The 19,765-nt window shown below is 38.4% G+C and overlaps 1 protein-coding gene across 11 annotated transcripts in view; it reads right to left on the bottom strand.

Annotated features, from left to right (window-relative positions):
* PDE3B (phosphodiesterase 3B) overlaps window positions 1–19,765 on the bottom strand; it is a 255,518-nt gene that overhangs the window by 84,468 nt on the left and 151,285 nt on the right. For all 11 annotated transcript variants that reach the window (NR_190763.1, NR_190764.1, NR_190766.1 and 8 more), the window contains one exon: window positions 10,804–10,910. Coding sequence is in view for 7 of the 11 variants with exons in the window: in NM_001429700.1 (NP_001416629.1) it covers window positions 10,804–10,910 (107 nt within the window). In the remaining 4 variants the exon portion in view is untranslated. The remainder of the gene's footprint in view (window positions 1–10,803; window positions 10,911–19,765) is intronic.

Raw genomic sequence — 19,765 nt, 5'->3', positions numbered from 1 at the left:
AGTAGCTGGGACTACAGGTGCCCGCCACCACGCCCAGCTAATTTTTTTGTGTTTTTAGTAGAGATGGGGTCTTACCATGTTGACGAGGCTGGCCTCGAACTCCTGACCTCAAATGATCCACCAGCCTCAGCCTCCCTAAGTGCTGAGATTACAGGCGTGAGCCACCATGCCTGGCCTTTATATGACTTTTTTCAATAAAGAGGTTATTAATGTTCATGTAGTCAAATTTATTCATCTAATCCCATATGGTAAGTATTTTTATGTCTTGTTACGGAAATTTTTCCCTGAAGTTATGGAGTGTAGCAGCATTGCATATTTTTTATTAAATTTATCTCTACGTAATTGGTGGCTTTTGATGCTGTGGTAAATGGTGTTTTAAATTTCATTTTAACCATTTTCTGATAGTATAGAGTAATATAATTAATTTTTCTGTACAATTAAAATATTGCAAAATTTACTTATTAATTCTATTACTATATTTTTAGAGCCTTCTAGATTTTCCATGTATACAAAATGGTAATCTGCAAATAAATAAAAGGGTTTATATCTTCCTTTCCAATATTTATTCCTTTTCTTTATCTTGTCTTCATTCATTGTCTAGAAATTACAGGATAATGTTGGAGACAAGTATTTACAGTGAACATCTTTATCTTGTTTCCAAAGTCAGGAGAAAAATGTTCAGTATTTCATTATGTATTATGTTTGAAAAACATTTTTGATAGATACTTTATCAGATTAAAAATGTCCCCTCTATTCCCAATTTGCTTATAATTTTTTATCATAATTATCAAATTTATCAAATGAACATACATGAAAAGCTTTCTCTGTACCAATTAAGATGACCATATGAGTATTCTCTTTTATTCTATTAATGCAGTGAATTTTCAAAGGTTAAACAGACTTTATATTCCTGTAATAATACTTCCCAACATGAACATTATGGTATTATCATTTTAATATATTACTCAATTATATGTGTAACTTTTTGTTTAGGATTTTTGTATCTATATTCACAAGAGATGTTGGCCTCTAATTTACTTGTAATATCCTTGTCAGGTTTCAATATTAGGGTTATGCTGGCCTCATAAAAAACTGGTGTTTCCTCTTTCCCTTTTCAGTGAAAGAGTTGTGTAAGATTGGCTGTGGTAAGCAGAATAATCACCCCCAAAGATGTCCATATCCTAAACCACAGAACCTATATGTTAGATTGCATGGCAAAGGGATATTTAAATTGCAAATGGCCTTAAGGTTGCTGATCAGCTAACCTTGAGATGGGGAGATTATCCTGGATTATGTAGTTGTGCTCAATGTAATGACAAGGGTTCTTGTCATTACAGGAGTCACACACGGCTAAGTCCTATGCCTAAGTAAAAGAGAGAGGCAGACATAAAAGAGCCAGAGAGATGGCAGCGTCAGGATTCAGACTGACATTGCTGGCAATGAAGATGGAGTAATGGGGCCATGGGCCAGGAATCCAGGCAGGCAAGCTCTAGGAAGGCCTCTGGAAACTGGAAAATGCAAAGAAAATGGATTACCCCCTAAAGCCTCCAGAAGACACATAGCCCTGCTGACACCTTGCTTTGGGCCCAATGAGATCAATTTTAAACTTCTGACCTCCAGAATTATAAGTATAAATTTGTGTTATTTAAGTCACTAAGCATATGGTAATTTGATACAGTAGTGTGTTAGTCCCTTTGGATTGCTATAACAAAATACCATAGACTAGGTATTTTATAAATAAGAGAAATTTATTCTCACAGTTCTGGAGGCTGGGAAGTGCAAGATCAAGGCACTGGCAGATGTGGTGTCTGATGATGGCCCACTTCCTGGTTCACTGACGGCCATCTTCTCGTGTCCTCACATGGCGGAAGGGATTAGAGAGCTCTTTGAGGTCTCTTTTATAAGGCACTCATCCCATTCATGAAGAGTCCACTCACATGACCTAATCACATTCCAAAGGCCCCAGCTCCAAATACCATCACACTGAGGATTAGGTTTCAACACATGAATTGGGGTGTAAGTGAGGAGATATGAATATGCAGTTTACAGCAAGCAGCTATAGAAAACTAAGGCATTGGATATAACCTTTCATAACAACATTTTCGTTAAATATAGGGAAGAATTTACCAGTAAAGTCATCTGGACCTACAATTTTATTTGTAAGAAGGTTTTTAACTACAGGTTTAATTTCGTTAGAAGATATATGACTCTTCAGATTTTTTATCATTTTTGTATCAGTGTAATCTTTTTGTATCAGTGTCATGTTTTCTTCTTTCTTTTGGTTTACTTTGCTGTGAAACTTATAGCTTCTTAAAATGTAAGCTTAACAGATTTTTAATTTTTCTCTTTTTTTGCTATAAATTTCCCAAGAAAGCACTGCTTTAGCTTCTTCCGACATTTTAATAAGTCCTATTTTCATTATTATTCAGCTCAAAATATTTTCTGATTTTCATTGCTTTTTCTTCTTTGACCCATAGGTTATTTATAATTTGAGGATTTTCTGCAGATCTATTGAGAGATGTTTTCAAATCTAATTCCACTGTGGTGACAGAACATGCTTACGTGTTTTTTAAACAGCCTTTTAAGATATCATTCATATACCATACAATTTACTATTTTAAATTGTACAATTCACTGAATTTTAGAAATCCACAGAGTTGTGCAACTATCACCACTATCTAATTCTGGAATATTTCCATAAACTCAAAAAGAAACCATAGACCCATTAGCAGTCATTCTCTATTCCTGTCGCTCCTACCCATAGTCACAAGGGACCACTGTCTTAGTTCATTCAACTTGCTATAAAAAAAAGCCCAAAATCTCCTTAAGCTGATAAGCAACTTCAGCAAAGTCTCAGGATACAAAATCAATGTACAAAAATCACAAGCATTCTTATACACCAATAACAGACAAACACAGAGCCAAATCATGAGTGAACTCCCATTCACAATTGCTTCAAAGAGAATAAAATACCTAGGAATCCAACTTACAAGGGACGTGAGGGACCTCTTCAAGGAGAACTACAAACCACTGCTCAAGGAAATAAAAGAGGATACAAACAAATGGAAGAACATTCCATGCTCATGGGTAGGAAGAATCAATATTGTGAAAATGGCCATACTGCCCAAGGTAATTTACAGATTCAATGCCATCCCCATCAAGCTACCAATGACTTTCTTCACAGAATTGGAAAAAACTACTTTAAAGTTCATATGGAACCAAAAAAGAGCCCACATCGCCAAGCCAATCCTAAGCCAAAAGAACAAAGCTGGAGGCATCACACTACCTGACTTCAAACTATACTACAAGGCTACAGTAACCAAAACAGCATGGTACTGGTACCAAAACAGAGCCCTCAGAAATCACGCCGCATATCTACAACTATCTGATCTTTGACAAACCTGAGAAAAACAAGCAATGGGGAAAGGATTCCCTATTTAATATGGTGCTGGGAAAACTCGCTAGCCATATGTACAAAGCTGAAACTGGATCCCTTCCTTACACCTTATACAAAAATCAATTCAAGATGGATTAAAGACTTAAACGTTAGACCTAAAACCACAAAAACCCTAGAAGAAAACCTAGGCATTACCATTCAGGACATAGGCATGGGCAAGGACTTCATGTCTAAAACACCAAAAGCAATGGCAACAAAAGCCAAAATTGACAAATGGGATCTAATTAAACTCAAGAGCTTCTGCACAGCAAAAGAAACTACCATCAGAGTGAACAGGCAACCTACAAAATGGGAGAAAATTTTCACAACCTACTCATCTGACAAAGGGCTAATATCCAGAATCTATGATGAACTCAAACAAATTTACAAGAAAAAAACAAACAACCCCATCAACAAGTGGGCAAAGGACATGAACAGACACTTCTCAAAAGAAGACATTTATGCAGCCAAAAAACACATGAAAAAATGCTCATCATCACTGGCCATCCGAGAAATGCAAATCAAAACCACAATGAGATACCATCTCACACCAGTTAGAATGGCAGTCATTAAAAAGTCAGGAAACAACAGGTGCTGGAGAGGATGTGGAGAAATAGGAACACTTTTACACTGTTGGTGGGACTGTAAACTAGTTCAACCATTGTGGAAGTCAGTGTGGCGATTCCTCAGGGATCTAGAACTAGAAATACCATTTGACCCAGCCATCCCATTACTGGGTATATACCCAAAGGACTATAAATCATGCTGCTATAAAGACACATGCACACGTATGTTTATTGCGGCATTATTCACAATAGCAAAGACTTGGAACCGACCCAAATGTCCAACAATGATAGACTGGATGAAGAAAATGTGGCACATATACACTATGGAATACTATGCAGCCATAAAAAAGGATGAGTTCATGTCCTTTGTAGGGACATGGATGAAATTGGAAATCATCATTCTCAGTAAACTATCGCAAGAACAAAAAACCAAACACTGCATATTCTCACTTGTAGGTGGGAATTGAACAATGAGAACACATGGACACAGGAAGGGGAACATCACACTCTGGGGACTGTTGTGGGGTGGGGGGAGGGGGGAGGGATAGCATTGGGAGATATGCCTAATGCTAGATGACGAGTTAGTGGGTGCAGCGCACCAGCATGGCACATGTATACATATGTAACTAACCTGTACATTGGGCACATGTACCCTAAAACTTAAAGTATAATAATAAATAAAAGAAAAAAAAATGTTATCAACTTTTAATGGTTTTATTATTAGAAAATATTTATCTATTTAAACTTTCTGAATCTTATATGCTTTTATAATACTTTTAATTCCCATTTTGAACACCTAAATTGTAGCCAATCTGTAGATTTCTGTGTATATAATATGTAAGATGGAAATTCAGTCTTCTACCAGATAATTATAAAGATGACCCAAAACCATTAACTCAGTACTCCCTATTTTCTTTCACTGTATTAAAATTCCATCTATACCACCTAAAAAAAAAAAATACTTTAGTCTGGGCAATTTGTAAACAATAGAACTTGGCTGCTCACAGTTTTTGGAGGCTGGGAAGTCCAAGACCAAGGTGCCAGCAGTCTTGATGTCTGATTAGGGCTCAGTTTCTGCCTCACAGATGGTACTTTTTTCACTGTATCCTCACATGGCTGACAGGATAGCTAGCTTCCTCAGGCCTCTTTTATAAGAGCACTAATCTCATTCACAAAGGCTCCAACCTCATGCTTAGTCATCTCCAAAAGGCCCCATCTCTTAATACTGTCTCATTGGGGATTAGGTTTCAACATGTGAATTTTGGAAGTACACAAGCATTAAAACCATAGCAACCACTAATATACTTTCTCTATCTATAGATCTGTCCATTTTAGACATTTTATATGAGTAGATTTGTACAATTTGTAGTCTTTTGTGACTGCCTTATTTAACTTAGCATAATGTTTTCAAGGTTCATTCATGGCATATGAATACTACTCCATTTCACTTTTGTGACAAAAAATATTCTACTGTATGGTTAAGCCACGTTTTGTTTAACCATTTATTGATAGCCATTTAGGTTGTTTCTAATTTTAGCTATTATGAATAATGCTGCTATACACATTTATGCACAAGTTTTTGTGTGGACCTACGGTTTCACTTCTCTTGGATATATATCAAGAAGTAGAATTTCTGGGTCATATGGTAACTTCATGTTTAAAATTTGAGAAACTGCCAAATTGAATTTCATTGAATAGAAATATCTCTATGCCAGTACCATACTAAATTACTGTAGCCTGGTAGTAAGTTTTAAAATTTGAAAGTGGGAGTCCTCGTACTTTTTCTTCTTTTTTATTAAAGAACTGTTTTGGCTATTCTGGGACTCTTGCGTTTCTATACGAATTTTAGCATCAGACTGTCAATTTTGGCAAAGCTGAAATTTTGATAAGGACTGTATCGAATCTAGTGCAATTCAAAGAATATTGCCATCTTAATAATATTAAGTCTTCTGATCCTTAAACGTGGAATGTCTTCCAATATATTTAGGTCTTCTTTAATTTCAACAATATTTTATAGTTTCCATTGTAAAAGTCTTGTACTATTTTGCTAAATTTATTTCAAAGATTTTTTCAATGCTAACTGTAAACAGAAATCGTTCTGTAACTTGAGTTTTGGATTCCTTAATGTTAGCATATAGAAATAAAATTGATTTTGTATATCCTGCCACATTGATAAACTTATTGGTGATAATAGGTTTCAGTGAATTTCTTAGGATTTTACATATACAAGCTCATGCCATCTGCAAATACAATTTTACTTTTTCCTTTTATTCCTTCTCACCTAATTGCCCTGGCTAGAACCTCTAATCCAATATTGAGTAAAAGTAGCCTTACTTTATAATTATTAAAACAATGTTACAGTTTTGTTTTATACTAAGTCTAAAATCCAATCCACTTCAGGGATAATTTCTATGGGTTACGTTTTCCTTGGGTACATGTCAAAAATTTCTTGTATCTTTGCATGTTTCACATATTTTTCTTGAAAATCGTACATTTTACATAAAATACTGTAAAGTTTTGATATCAGATCCCTCCAACACCAAAGGTTTATTATGTTGCTGGCTTTGTGTTTTCTTCTTTCTGATAATTTGTTTAGTGACTTACCTGAACTAATTGTGTAGTTTCTGTTTCTCCTGCAATGTGTAGTTACTCAGTTTTCTGTTAGCTTTTTCTCTTAAGTTTTTGATTATATTTTTAAGCATGGTTTCCTAGAAGTCATCCCTGGGGGGATCAGTATAATTTGGACATCAACCAATGAGCAGTCAGAAGATTACTTTTTTTTTTTTTTTTTTGAGACGAAGGCTCGCTTTGTCGTCCAGGCTCAAGTGCAGTGGCACAATCTCGGCTCACCGCAATCTCTGTCTCCCGGGTTCAAGCGATTCTCGTGCCTCAACCTCCCGAGTAGCTGGGATTACAGGCGCCCACCACCACGTCTGGTTAATTTTTGTATTTTGTATTTTTGAATTTTGTAGAGATGGGGTTTCACCATGTTGGCCAGGCTGGTCTCAAACTCCTGACCTCAGGTGATCCACCCACCTGAGCCTCCCAAAGTGCTGGGATTACAAGTGTGAGTCACAGTGCCCAGCCTAATCTTTGTCTTTTAATTGGAGCGTAAAGTCCAATTTTTGTTGAAAACTTGACATTTCAGATAATATACTGACAACTCTAGTCAGATCCCTTCCTCTACCCCAAAGGTGTATATTTAATGTAATAAAGTGTGTTTAATCCACCATGCTGCTATTTATTTTTTGTGTGTTTCTTCTGTTTTTGCTTTTCTTTTCTCAGATTCTTTTGAATTATTCAAGCTTTTTTTAATCATGCCATTTTACCTCCTTATAAGCTTTTTAGTTATATCTTTTTCTACTGGTCTTTTAATTGGCCCCCTGAATACTACAATGTTCATCTTTGAATATTAGCTTCTCTTAAATTAGAACTTTTTACTGTTTTTCAAGCATTGCTAGTACCTTACGACAAATTTAATTCCATTTACCCCTTGACTACCCTCTATGCTATTGTTATATATTTGACTTTTATGTATTTCATAAATGCTAAAAGAAAGTTATTATTGTGTTTACCCATCAATTTTTTTATTATTATTATACTTTAAGTTCTAGGGTACATGTGCACAATGTGCAGGTTTGCTACATAGGTATACACGTGCCATGGTGGTTTGCTGCATGCATCAACTCGTCATATACATTAGGTATTTCTCTTAACGCTATCCCTCCCCCAGCCCCCCAGCCTCAGATTGGTCCCAGTGTGTGATGTTCCCCTCCCTGTGTCCATGTGTTCTCATTTTTCAACTCCCACTTATGAGTGAGAACATGCGGTGTTTAGTTTTCTGTTCTTGTGATGGTTTGCTAATGATGGTTTCCAGCTTCATCCACGTCCCTGCAAAGGACATGAACTCATCCTTTTTTATGGCTGCATAGTATTCCATGGTGTATATGTGCCACATTTTCTTTTTTTTCTTTTTTTTTTTTTTTTTTTTTTGAGACGGAGTCTCACTCTGTCGCCCAGGCTGGAGTGCAGTGGTGGGATCTCGGCTCACTGCAAGCTCCGCCTCCCGGGTTCATGCCATTCTCCTGCCTCAGCCTCCCAAATAGCTGGGACTACAGGCGCCCGCCACTACGCCCGGCTAATTTTTTGTATTTTTAGTAGAGACGGGGTTTCACCATTTTAGCCGGGATGGTCTCGATCTCCTGACCTCGTGATCCGCCCGCCTCGGCCTCCCAAAGTGCTGGGATTACAGGCATGAGCCACCGCGCCCGGCCTCACATTTTCTTTATTCAGTCTATTATTGATGGACATTTGGGTTGGTTCCAAGTCTTTGCTATTGTGAACACTGCCACAATAAACATACGTGTGCATGTGTCTTTATAGTAGCATGATTTTTTTTTTTTTGAGACAGAGTCTTGCTCTGTCACCCAGGCTGGAGTGCAGTGGCACGATCTCGGCTCACAGCAAGCTCTGCCTTCCAGGTTCATGCCATTCTCCTGCCTCAGCCTCCCGAGTAGCTGCAACTACAGGTGCCTGCCACCACGCCCAGCTGATTTTTTTTTTTTTTGTATTTTTAGTAGAGACGGGGTTTCACCATGGTCTCGATCTCCTGACCTCATGATCCGCCTGCCTTGGCCTCCCAAAGTGCTGGGATTACAGGCGTGCACCACCACGCCCAGCCACATGATTTACAATCCTTTGGGTATATACCCAGTAATGGGATTGCTGGGTCAAATGGTATTTCTTGTTCTAGATCCTTGAGGAATCGCCACACTGTCTTCCACACTGGTTGAACTAATTTACAGTCCCACCAACTGTGTAAAAGCCTTCCTATTTCTCCACCTCCTCTCCAGCATCTGTTGTTTCCTGACTTTTTAGTGATCGCCATTCTAACTGGCGTGAGATATTATCTCATTGTGGTTTTGATTTGCATTTCTCTGATGACCAGGGATAATGAGCATTTTTTCCTATGTCTGTTGGCTGCATAAATGTCTTCTTTTGAGAAGTGTCTATTCATATCCTTTGCCAACTTTTTGACCCATCAACACTTTTTAATCCTCACCCATCTATTTAGCCTTACCAGTGCTTTTGGTTTGTTCTTGTAGTTCCATGCTTCAATCTGGATAATTTTCCCCCTGCCTAAGAAACTTCCTTTACTGAATCTTAGTAGCACAGGTCTGCCAGCTACAAATTATTTCAGCTTTTGTTTGTTTGAAAAAAATGTACGTTTTTCTACTTCTCATCTGATTTACTAAAAGATTTTTTCCAGATTTACTGAGGTACAATTGACAAAAACTGCATGTATTCAAGGTGTACAACATAATGACTTGATTTACATTTTTACTGTGAAATGATTATGACAATCAAATTAATTAACATACCCATCACCACAGTTACTGTTGCAGGGAAGTGAGGATACTAAAAAAAATTTTTATTCCTATTTAATTTTTCAAGAATATTTCTTCATTGGATAAAGAATTCTATGCTGTCAAGTTTTATTCTTTCCACACTTTTTCAAATATGCCATTGTCTTTGGAGTTCACAGTTGCTGTTAACAAGTCACTGTCAATATCATTATTGTTGTTCCTTGAAAAATAAAAACAACCTTGCTTGGTTGCTTTTGAAACTTTTTCTTTATAATTTGGAGGCTTGATTCATACATCTAGCTGTGATTTTCTTGTATTTATCCTGCTTGGGGTTCACTGCACTTTATGAATTTGTTGTTTGCTTTCTTTTATTAGTTTTGCGAAGTTATTCTGTCCTTTTGTTTCTCTCCTTTCCTTCTGGAACTTCAGTCACACATATTTTAGAACTTCTGTGTCCCATATGTCTTTTAAACTTTGTTCTGTTATTTATGTATTTTTCCTTCTCTGTGCTTCAGTTTGGGTATTTTCTATTTCTCTGTCTTCAAGTTCACTACTTTTGTATTCTGTTGTATCCAATCCATTCTTAAACCCTTGAATAAGCTTTTAATTTAATCAAGTGCATTTCTCAGTTCTAGACTGTCCATTTCTTTTCTATGTGTTCTAGTTCTCTATTCGAAGTATCCATTCATTTTGGCCATTATTCCTTCTATTTCCTTTTAAACATCATTGTTATTTTAAAGATTGTAAAATACAGCATCAATATCATATATAGATCTTTTTCTAGTGCCTACTTTTCTTGATTATCAATAATATTTTCTGATCTCTTCACATGCTTTATAGGTTATTGTGTATAAAAGAATTTTGTAATTGTATATCCCAATCACAAAATTGTACCTATGTGATATCAGCCATAATGTACTTTAAAAGCACAATATCAGTATTGCTTTGCTATTCCTATGTTGTATTTATTAAAATATCTTGCATCCAAGAGTTTTTAATCATTCTATAATCTTTTAATTAAAAAAAATTCCTATCATAATGTTTTTCCAGGATGAAGTCATGGTTTTTTCTATTCTAATCCTAAAATTTTTTTCTCCACAATTATCATTCTATGAAAAAAAAAAATACTCTTTCTTGAAGATTTTCCCTTGTCCTGGGTCTGCAACCATTCAGGTTAGTTAAATAGTTATATATTTTATCTCTGAATCCCTACTGCTTAGCAAAATACCTGGTACAGAGTAGATGTTCTAAAACTGTTTTTACTGAAAGAATTAGCAAACGGTCAATTAGTAGCCAACCCAAACTGCTAAGTCATGTTAACTTATAATACATGAAATTGTATTCAAAATTAGCTATAAATATGTGATGAAAAGTGTTTACACTACCATATACTTTGAGAACCCCCATATTTGAGTCATAAAGAATGATTTCTTACCAGCTCTTCTGAGACCTACATGGTGAGTCAGTGATACAGAAGATGACCTTTGCTTCGGGATAGTCAGTAGATTTGAATTAAAAGGCCCATTTAGATAGCATCCTTGACTAAAAGGGAAAAATAACAGGTTAAAATTTTTAAAAACAGGAAAAGTTTCACCTTTTTTCCTCATGGTTCTCAATTTAATTAGCAAATATATCCTCATAAATTCAGAGTTTGCGCCTCTAGTGCCTAAGGCCTAAAGCAGGAGTCAGCAAACTTTTTCTGTAAAGAACCTGATGGTAAATACTTTTGGCTATATGTTCTCTATTGCAGCTACTCAACTCTGCTGATGTAGCACAAAAGCATCCACAAACTAAAATGAACAAATGGGTATGGTTTTGTTTCAATAAAATTTTACTTACAAAAAAACAGGTTATAGACCAGATTAGGTCCATAGGCTGCAGACTGCCAATCCCTGGGGTGAAATAGGTTATCACAATTACTTTGAAGGTTTCTTAAAACATAGGCTGCTGGTCTCGTCCCCAAGGTTTCTGATTCACTAAGTCTTGGGTGGGGCCAGATAATCCACACTTCTAACAAGTTCTTATATGATGGAGTTTCTGATCCAGTGACCTCACTGAGAACTACTGGACTAAAGTATAGTTTTTCATTTTTTTCTGTTCCCTATCCTCACAAGTATTGACAACTTTTATTAGTGTAGGCAAAAAACAAGCAGTAAGCAAATAATACCACCCAATGAACTCATCTCCCTGTCAATGCTCAGTCATTCTTCATATTTTCATTGTGTGAAAATAAGTAATTCAAAACCAAATTTTGGAACTTTTATTCTGAGCCTTAAAGGAATGTGATTTTGGGACCTCAGTCACTAACAGGCAGCTGTAACCTAGGCAGACATAGCCTTGATTTCCCTGACTACAGATTAGCCTTTTATTCCCCCCTAACTTACACTGCTTTGCTAAATGCTGCAAATAACTAAAGGATGTCAAAGAAGACTCCTTCCCTCTTTACTGTTGATCTTCATTATAGATTAACTTCCCTTTTTCTTCTCTTACACAAAGACACACTTTCTAAGATGGACTGTTAAATATATTCTTTTAAATTGGAAAAAGAAAACAAACAAGCTGTAACTAATCAAATTGCTGTAACTCAGAAGCCAACTTTGTGTGGAAAATGTTATTCTGCTAAATATCTTTGTTTTCTGCCTATACAAATATGATCTTAACTTTTCAACTTTGAAGCACTGACCCTATTTCCTTGGAGTCTGTGTTTCCTGGATGGGCATCCACAGCTTTGTGTTTGAATAAACTCTTTTAAGCTGGATTCTTATCCTTTTGATTATTTCATACCGGCAACTGCCTACATGTGGGGTGGCAAAGACTGGAAAAGAAGAGTAACAGTACCACCCGGGGCAACATTCAAATAGAAAAATGTGTGTGTTCCCAGGCAAGATGGTTGAATAGAAAGAGCTCCAGTCTGCAGCTCTCAGCAAGATTGACGCAGAAGGTGGGTGATTTCTGCATTTCCAACTGAGGTACCCAGTTCGTCTCACTGGGACTGGTTGAACAGTGGATGCAGCCCAAAGACGGCGAGCTGAAGCAGGGTGGGGCATCACCTCACTTGGGAAGGGCAAGAGGTTGGGGAATTTTCTCCCCTATCCAAGGCAAGCTGTGAGGAACTGTGCCGTGAGGAACAGTGCATTCCAGCCCAGATACTACGCTTTTCCCAGTCTTCGCAATCCACAGACCAAGAGATTCCCTCCGGTGCCTACCCCACCGGGGCCCTGGGTTTCAAGCAAAAAACTGGGCGGCCATTTAGGCAGACACCAAACTAGCTGCAAGAGTTTTTTTTGTTGTTGTATTGTTTTTTCCATACCACAGGGGCACCTGGAACGCCAGCAAGACAGAACCCTATACTCCCCCGGAAAGAGGGCTAAAGCCAGGGAGCCAAGTGGTCTGGCTCTGCAGATCTCACCGCCACAGAGCCCAGCAAACTAAGATCCACTGGCTTGAAATTCTCACTGCCAGCACAGCAGCTGTCTGAGATCCACCTGGGATGCTCAAGCTTGGTGGAAGGAGGGGCATCTGCCATTGCTGAGGCTTGAGTAGGCGTTTTGCCCTCACAGTGTAAACAAAGCAGCCCAAAAGTTTGAACTGGGTGGACCCCACTGCAGCTCAGCAAGGCCATTGAGGCCAGACTGCCAGATTTCTCCACTCTGGGCAGGGCATCTCTGAAAAAAAGGCAGCAGCCCCAGTCAGGGACTTACAGATAAAACCCCAATCTCCCTGGGACAGAGCACCTGGGGGAAGGGGTGGCTACGGGTGCAGCTTCAGCAGACTTAACCATCCCTGCCCAATGGCTCTGAAGAGAGTAGCAGACCTCCCAGCACAGTTTTCAAACTCTGCTAAGGGTCAGACTACCTCCTCAAGTGGGTCCCTGACCCCCATGTATCCTGACTGGAAGACACCTCCCAGTAGGGGCGGACAGACACCCCATACAGAAGAGCTCTGGCTGGCATCTGGCAGGTGTCCCTCTGGGACAAAGCTTCCAGAGGAAAGAACAGGCAGTAATGATTGCTGCTCTGCAGCCTCTCCTGGTGACATCCAGGCAAACAGGGTCTGGAGTGGACCTCCAGCAAACTGCAGCAGACCGGAAGCAAAGGGGCCTGACTGTTAGAAGGAAAACTAACAACAGAAAGGAATAGCATGTCCACTCAAAGACCCCATCTGAAGGTCACAAACATCAAAGACCAAAGGTAGATAAATCCACAAAGATGGGGAGAAACCAGCACAAAAAGGCTGAAAATTCCAAAAAACACAACGCCTCTTCTCCAAATAATCACAACTCCTCACCAGCAGGGGAATAAAACTGGACAGAGAATGAGTTTGATGAACTGACAGAAGTAGGCTTCAGAAGGTGGGTAACAACAAACTAATCCGAGCTAAAGGAGCATGTTCTAATCCAATGCAAGGAAGCTAAGAACCTTGAAAAAAGGTCAGACGAATTGCTAACTAGAATAATCAGTGTAGAGAAGAAAATAAATGACCTGATGGAGCTGAAAAACACAGCACGAGAACTTCGTGAGGCATACACAAGTATCAATAGCCTAATTGATCAAGTGGAAGAAAGGATATCAGAGATTGAAGATCAACTTGATGAAATAAAGCAAGAAGATTAGAGAAAAAAGAATAAAAAGAAATGAACAAAGCCTCCAAGAAATAAGGGACTATGTGAAAATACCAAATCTGCGTTTGATTGGTGTACCTGAAAGTGACAGGGGGAATGGAGCCAAGTTGGAAAACACTCTTCAGGATATTATCCAAGAGAACATCCCCAACCTAACAAGACAGGCCAACATTCAAATTCAGGAAATACAGAGAATACCACAATGATATTCCTTGAGAAGAGCAACCCCAAGACACATAACTGTCAGATTCACCGAAGTTGAAATGAAGGAAAAAATGTTAAGGGCACCCAGAGAGAAAGCTCAGGTTACTCACAAAGGGAAGCCCATCAGACTAACAGCGGATCTCTCTCGGCAGAAACCCTATAAGCCAGAATAGAATGAGGGCCAGTATTCTTTTTTGAGATGGAGTCTCTCTCTGTCACCCAGGCTGGAATGCAGTGGTGCAATCTCAGCTCACTGCCACCTCCGCCTCCCAGGTTCAAGCAATTCTCCTGCCTCAGCCTCCTGAGTAGTTGCGATTACAGGCGCGCACCACCACGCCCAGCTAACTTTTGTATGTTTATTAGAGACGGGGTTTCACCACGTTGGTCAGGCTGGAATCGAACTCCTGACCTCGTGATCCGCCAAAAGAAAAAGAATTTTCAACCCAGAATTTCATATCCAGCCAAACTAAGCTTCATAAGTGAAGGAGAAATAAAATACTTTACAGACAAGCAAATGCTGAGAGATTCTGTCACCACCAGGCCTGCCTAACAAGAGCTCCTGAAGGAAGCACTAAACATGGAAAGGAACAACCAGTACCAGCCACTGCAAAAACATACCAAATTGTAAAGACCATCAACACTACTAAGAAACTGCATCAACTAAAGGGCAAAACAACCAGCTAGCATCATAATGACAGCATCAAATTCACACATATTAACCTTAAACGTAAATGGGCTAAATGCCTCAATTAAAATACACAGACTGACAAATTGGATAGTCAAGACCCATCAGTGTGCTGTATTCAGGAGACCCATCTCACCTGTAAAGACACATCAGGCTCAAAATAAAGTGATGGAGGAATATTTACCAAGAAAATGGAAAGCAAAAAAAAAAAAAAAAAAGGCAGGAGTTGCAGTCCTAATCTCTGATAAAACAGACTTTAAACCAACAAAGATTAAAAGAGACAAAGAAGGGCATTACATAATGGTAAACGGATAAATGCAAAAGAGCTAACCATCCTAAATATATATGTACCCAATATAAGAGCACCGAGATTCATAAAGCAAGTTCTTAGAGACCTACAAAGAGACTTAGACTCCTACACAATAATAGTGGGAGACTTTAACACCCTACTGTCAATATTAGACAGATCAACGAGACAGAAAATTAACAAGGATATTCAGGACTTGAACTCAGCTCTGGACCAAGTGGACCTAAGAGACATCTACAGAACTCTCCACCCCAAATCAACAGAATATACATTCTTCTCAGCACCTCACTGCACTTATTCTAAGATTGACCACGTAATGGGAAGTAAAACACTCCTCAGCAAAGGCAAAAGAACAGAAATCATAACAAACAGTCTCTCAGACCACAGTGCAATCAAATTAGAACTCAGGATTAGGAAACTCACTCGAAACCGCACAACTACATGGAAACTGAACAACCTGCTCCTGAATGACTACTGGGTACATAACAAAATGAAGGCAGAAATAAAGATGTTTTATGAAACCAATGAGAACAAAGACAAAACATACCAGAATCTCTGGGACACATTTAAAGCAGTGCGTAAAAGGAAATTTATAGGACTAAATGCCCATAAGAGAAAGCAGGAAAGATCTAAAATTGACACCCTAACATCACAATTAAAAGAACTAGAGAAGCAAGAGCAAACAAATTCAAAAGCTAGCAGAAGGCAAGAAATAACTAAGATCAGAACAGAACTGAAGGAGATAGAGACACGAAAAACCCTTCAAAAAATCAATGAATTCAGGAGCTATTTTTTTCAAAAGATCAACAAAATATATTGACCACTAGCCAGGCTAATAAGGAAGAATAAGAAAAGAATCAAATAGACACATTAAAAAATGATACAGGGGATATCACCACTGATCCCACAGAAATACAAACTACCATCAGAGGATACTATAAACACCTCTACACAAATAAACTAAAAAATCTAGAAGAAATGGATAAATTCGTGGACACACACACCCTCCCAAGTCTAAACCAGGAAGAAGTCGAATCCCTGAACCGACCAATAACAAGCTCTGAAATGGAGGCAGTAATTAATAGCCTACCAACCAAAAAAAAGTCCAGGACCAGACAGATTCACAGCTGAATTCTACGACAGGTACAAAGAGGAGCTAGTACCATTCGTTCTGAAACTACTCCACTCAATAGAAAAAAAGGAAATCTTCCCTAAATCATTTTATGACACCGACATCATCCTGATACCAAAACCTGGAAGAGACACAACAAAAAAAGAAAATTTCAGGCCAATATCCCTGGTGAACATCGATATGAAAATCCTCAATAAAATATTGGCAAACAGAATCCAGCAGCACATCAAAAAGCTTACCCACCACGATCAAGTAGGCTTCATCCCTGCGATGCAAGGCTGGTTCAACATACACAAATCAATAAACGTAATCCATCACATAAACAGAACCAATGACAAAAACCGCATGATTATCTCAATAGATGCACAAAAGTCCTTTGACAAAATTCAACACCCCTTCATGCTAAAAACTCTCAATGAACTAGGTATCAATGGAATGTATCTCAAAATAATAAGAGCTATTTATGACAAACCAATAAGCAATATCATACTGAATAGGCAAAAACTGGAAGCATTCCTTCTGAAAATTAGCACAAGACAAGGATGCCCTCCCTCACCACTCCTATTCATCATGGTAGTGGAAGTTCTGGTCAGGGCAATCGGGCAAGAGAAAGAAATAAGCGGTATTCAATTAGGAGGAGAGGAAGTCAAATTGTCTCTGTTTGCAGATGACATGATTCAATTATTTATAAAACCCCATTGTCTCAGCCCCAAATCTCCTTAAGCTGATAAGCAACTTCAGAAAAGTGTCAGGATAAAAAATCAATATGCAAAAATCACAAGCATTCCTATACAACAAAAACAGACAAACAAGAGAGCCAAATCATGAGTGAACTCCCATTCACACTTGTTATAAAGAGAATAAAATACCTAGGAATCCAACTCACAAGGGTTGTGAAGGACCTCTTCAAGGAGAACTACAAACTACTGCTCAAGGAAATAAGAGAGGACAAACAAATGAAAAAACATTCCATGCTAATGGATAGGAAGAATCAATATCACAAAAATGGCCATACTGCCCAAAGTAATATATAGATTCAGTGCTATCCCCATCAAGCTACCATTGACTTTCTTCACAGAATTAGAAAAAACTACTTTAAATTTCATATGGAACCAAAAAAGATCCCTCATAGCCAAGACAATCCTAAGCAAAAAGAACAAAGCTGGAGGCATCACGCTACCTGACTTCAAACTATACTGCAAGGCTACAGTAACCAAAACACCCTGTTTGCCTGCCTGGGTATCACCAGGAGAGGCTGCAGAACAGCAATCATTACTGCCTGTTCTTTCCTCTGGTACTGGTACCAAACCGATATATAGACCAATAGGATAGAACAGAGGCCTCAGAAATAACACCACACATCTACAACCATCTGATCTTTGACAAACCTGACACAACAAGCAATGGGGAAAGGATTCCCTATTTAATAAATGGTGTTGGGAAAACTGGCTAGCCATATGCAGAAAACTGAAACTGGACCCCTTTCTTACACCTTATACAAAAATTAACTGAAGATGGATTAAAGACTTAAACGTAAGACCTAAAACCACAAAAATCTTACAAGAAAACCTAGGCAATACCATTCAGGACACAGGCATGGGCAAAGACTTCATGTCTAAAACACCAAAAGCAATGGCAACAAAAGGCAACATTGACCAATGCGATCTAATTAAAGAGCTTCTGCACAGCAAAAGAAACTACCATCCATCAGAGTGAACAGGCAACCTACAGAATAGGAGAAAATTTTTACACTCTATCCATCTGACAAAGGGCTAATATCCAGAATCTACAAAGAACTTAAACAAATTTACAAGAAAAATACAACCCCATCAAAAAGTGGGCAAAAGATATGAACAGACACTTCTCAAAAGAAGACATTTATGCAGCCAACAAACATATGAAAAATGATCATTATCACTGGTCCTTACAGAAATGCAAATCAAAACCACAATGAGATACCATCTCATGCCAGTTAGAATGGCGATCATTAAAAAGTCGGGAAACAACAGATGCTGCAGAGGATGTGGAGAAATAAGAATACTTTTACACTGTTGGTGAGTGTAAATTAGTTCAACCATTGTGGAAGACAGTGTGGCGATTCTTCAAGGATCTAGGACAAGAAATACCATTTGACTCAGCAATCCCATTACTGGGTATACACCCAAAGGATTATGAAGCATTCTATTATAAAAACACATGCACATGTATATTTATTGCTATTCACAATAGCAATGACTTGGAACCAACCGAAGTGTCCATCAATGATAGACTGGATAAAGAAAATGTGGCACATACACACCACGGAATACTACGCAGCCATAAAAAAGGAAGAGTTCATGTCCTTTGCAGGGACATGGATGAAGCTGGAAACCATCATTCTCAGCAAACTATCACAAGAACAGAAAACCAAACACCACATGTTCTCACTCATAAGTGGGAGTTGAACAATGAGAACACATGGACAAAGGGAGGGGAACATCACACACCAGGGCCTGTCGGGGGGTGGGGGACTAGAGGAGGGATAGCATTAGGAGAAATATCTAATGTAGGTGACGGGTTGATGGGTGCAGTGAACCACCATGGCACGTGTATACCTATGTAACAAAACTGCACATTCTGCACATGTACCCCAGAACTGAAAGTATAATGATAATAATAATAATAAGATAATGAATTGAGCTTTCAAACACTTAGACATGCAAACAAAATTAAATCTCATATTCTTCTTGTCCATATCATTCACAGCATACAAACACACTCTAAAAGCTTCTAGTTTAAAATAAAAAAGAAAGAAAACAAAAAAAGAGAAAAATCTGTGTATTCTACCAAAGCCCACTCCCTGATTCTATGATTAATAGTCAAGACAAAGAGAGATTTCTCCTTTCAGAATGGCACCACAGCACTGCTCCACTGTCTTCTACCTTGATCCAGGGTCTTTCAATAATTTCAGTATATCATACATTCATTTAGCTATTTAGAATTAAGAGTTACAGGTCAAATGATAGGTTCTCAGATTAGTTCCCGAATCTTCCCATCATGTCCTGGCCCAGCACCAGATAAATACACACCTCAATGAAATTACATAAATCAATACGAAGAAAGCAGAAGACAAGCAGACGAGTAGTTCCAATGACTACTAATAGTTGGCAGGAAGGTGATTAAAGTCAGACTTGGTGTGATATTGTGAAATACATATTTGGTTTTAGTCCAGTCCCTGTTTCCTAGCATACAACTCCTAAACTCCTGAGGATCTCCAAAGTGTCTTTTTGTATGCTAATGAGTTGACTGATGGCTGGCAGCTTCTAGGTAGCTTCAGGATAGAGGCTAGTCACTTGAAAGACCAAGACAGGATTAGATGATGGGGGTTTTCAGCCCCACTACCCAACCTCCAGAGAGAGGAGAGGGACTAAAGCTTAAATTGCTCACCAATGGCCAATGATTTACTCAA

The sequence above is a fragment of the Homo sapiens genome, chromosome 11 (assembly GCF_000001405.40).
Source record: "Homo sapiens chromosome 11, GRCh38.p14 Primary Assembly".
NCBI classification, from domain to species: domain Eukaryota; kingdom Metazoa; phylum Chordata; class Mammalia; order Primates; family Hominidae; genus Homo; species Homo sapiens.
Note: the sequence above shows the minus strand (reverse complement) of the source record. Positions and strands in the feature narration are given on the sequence as shown.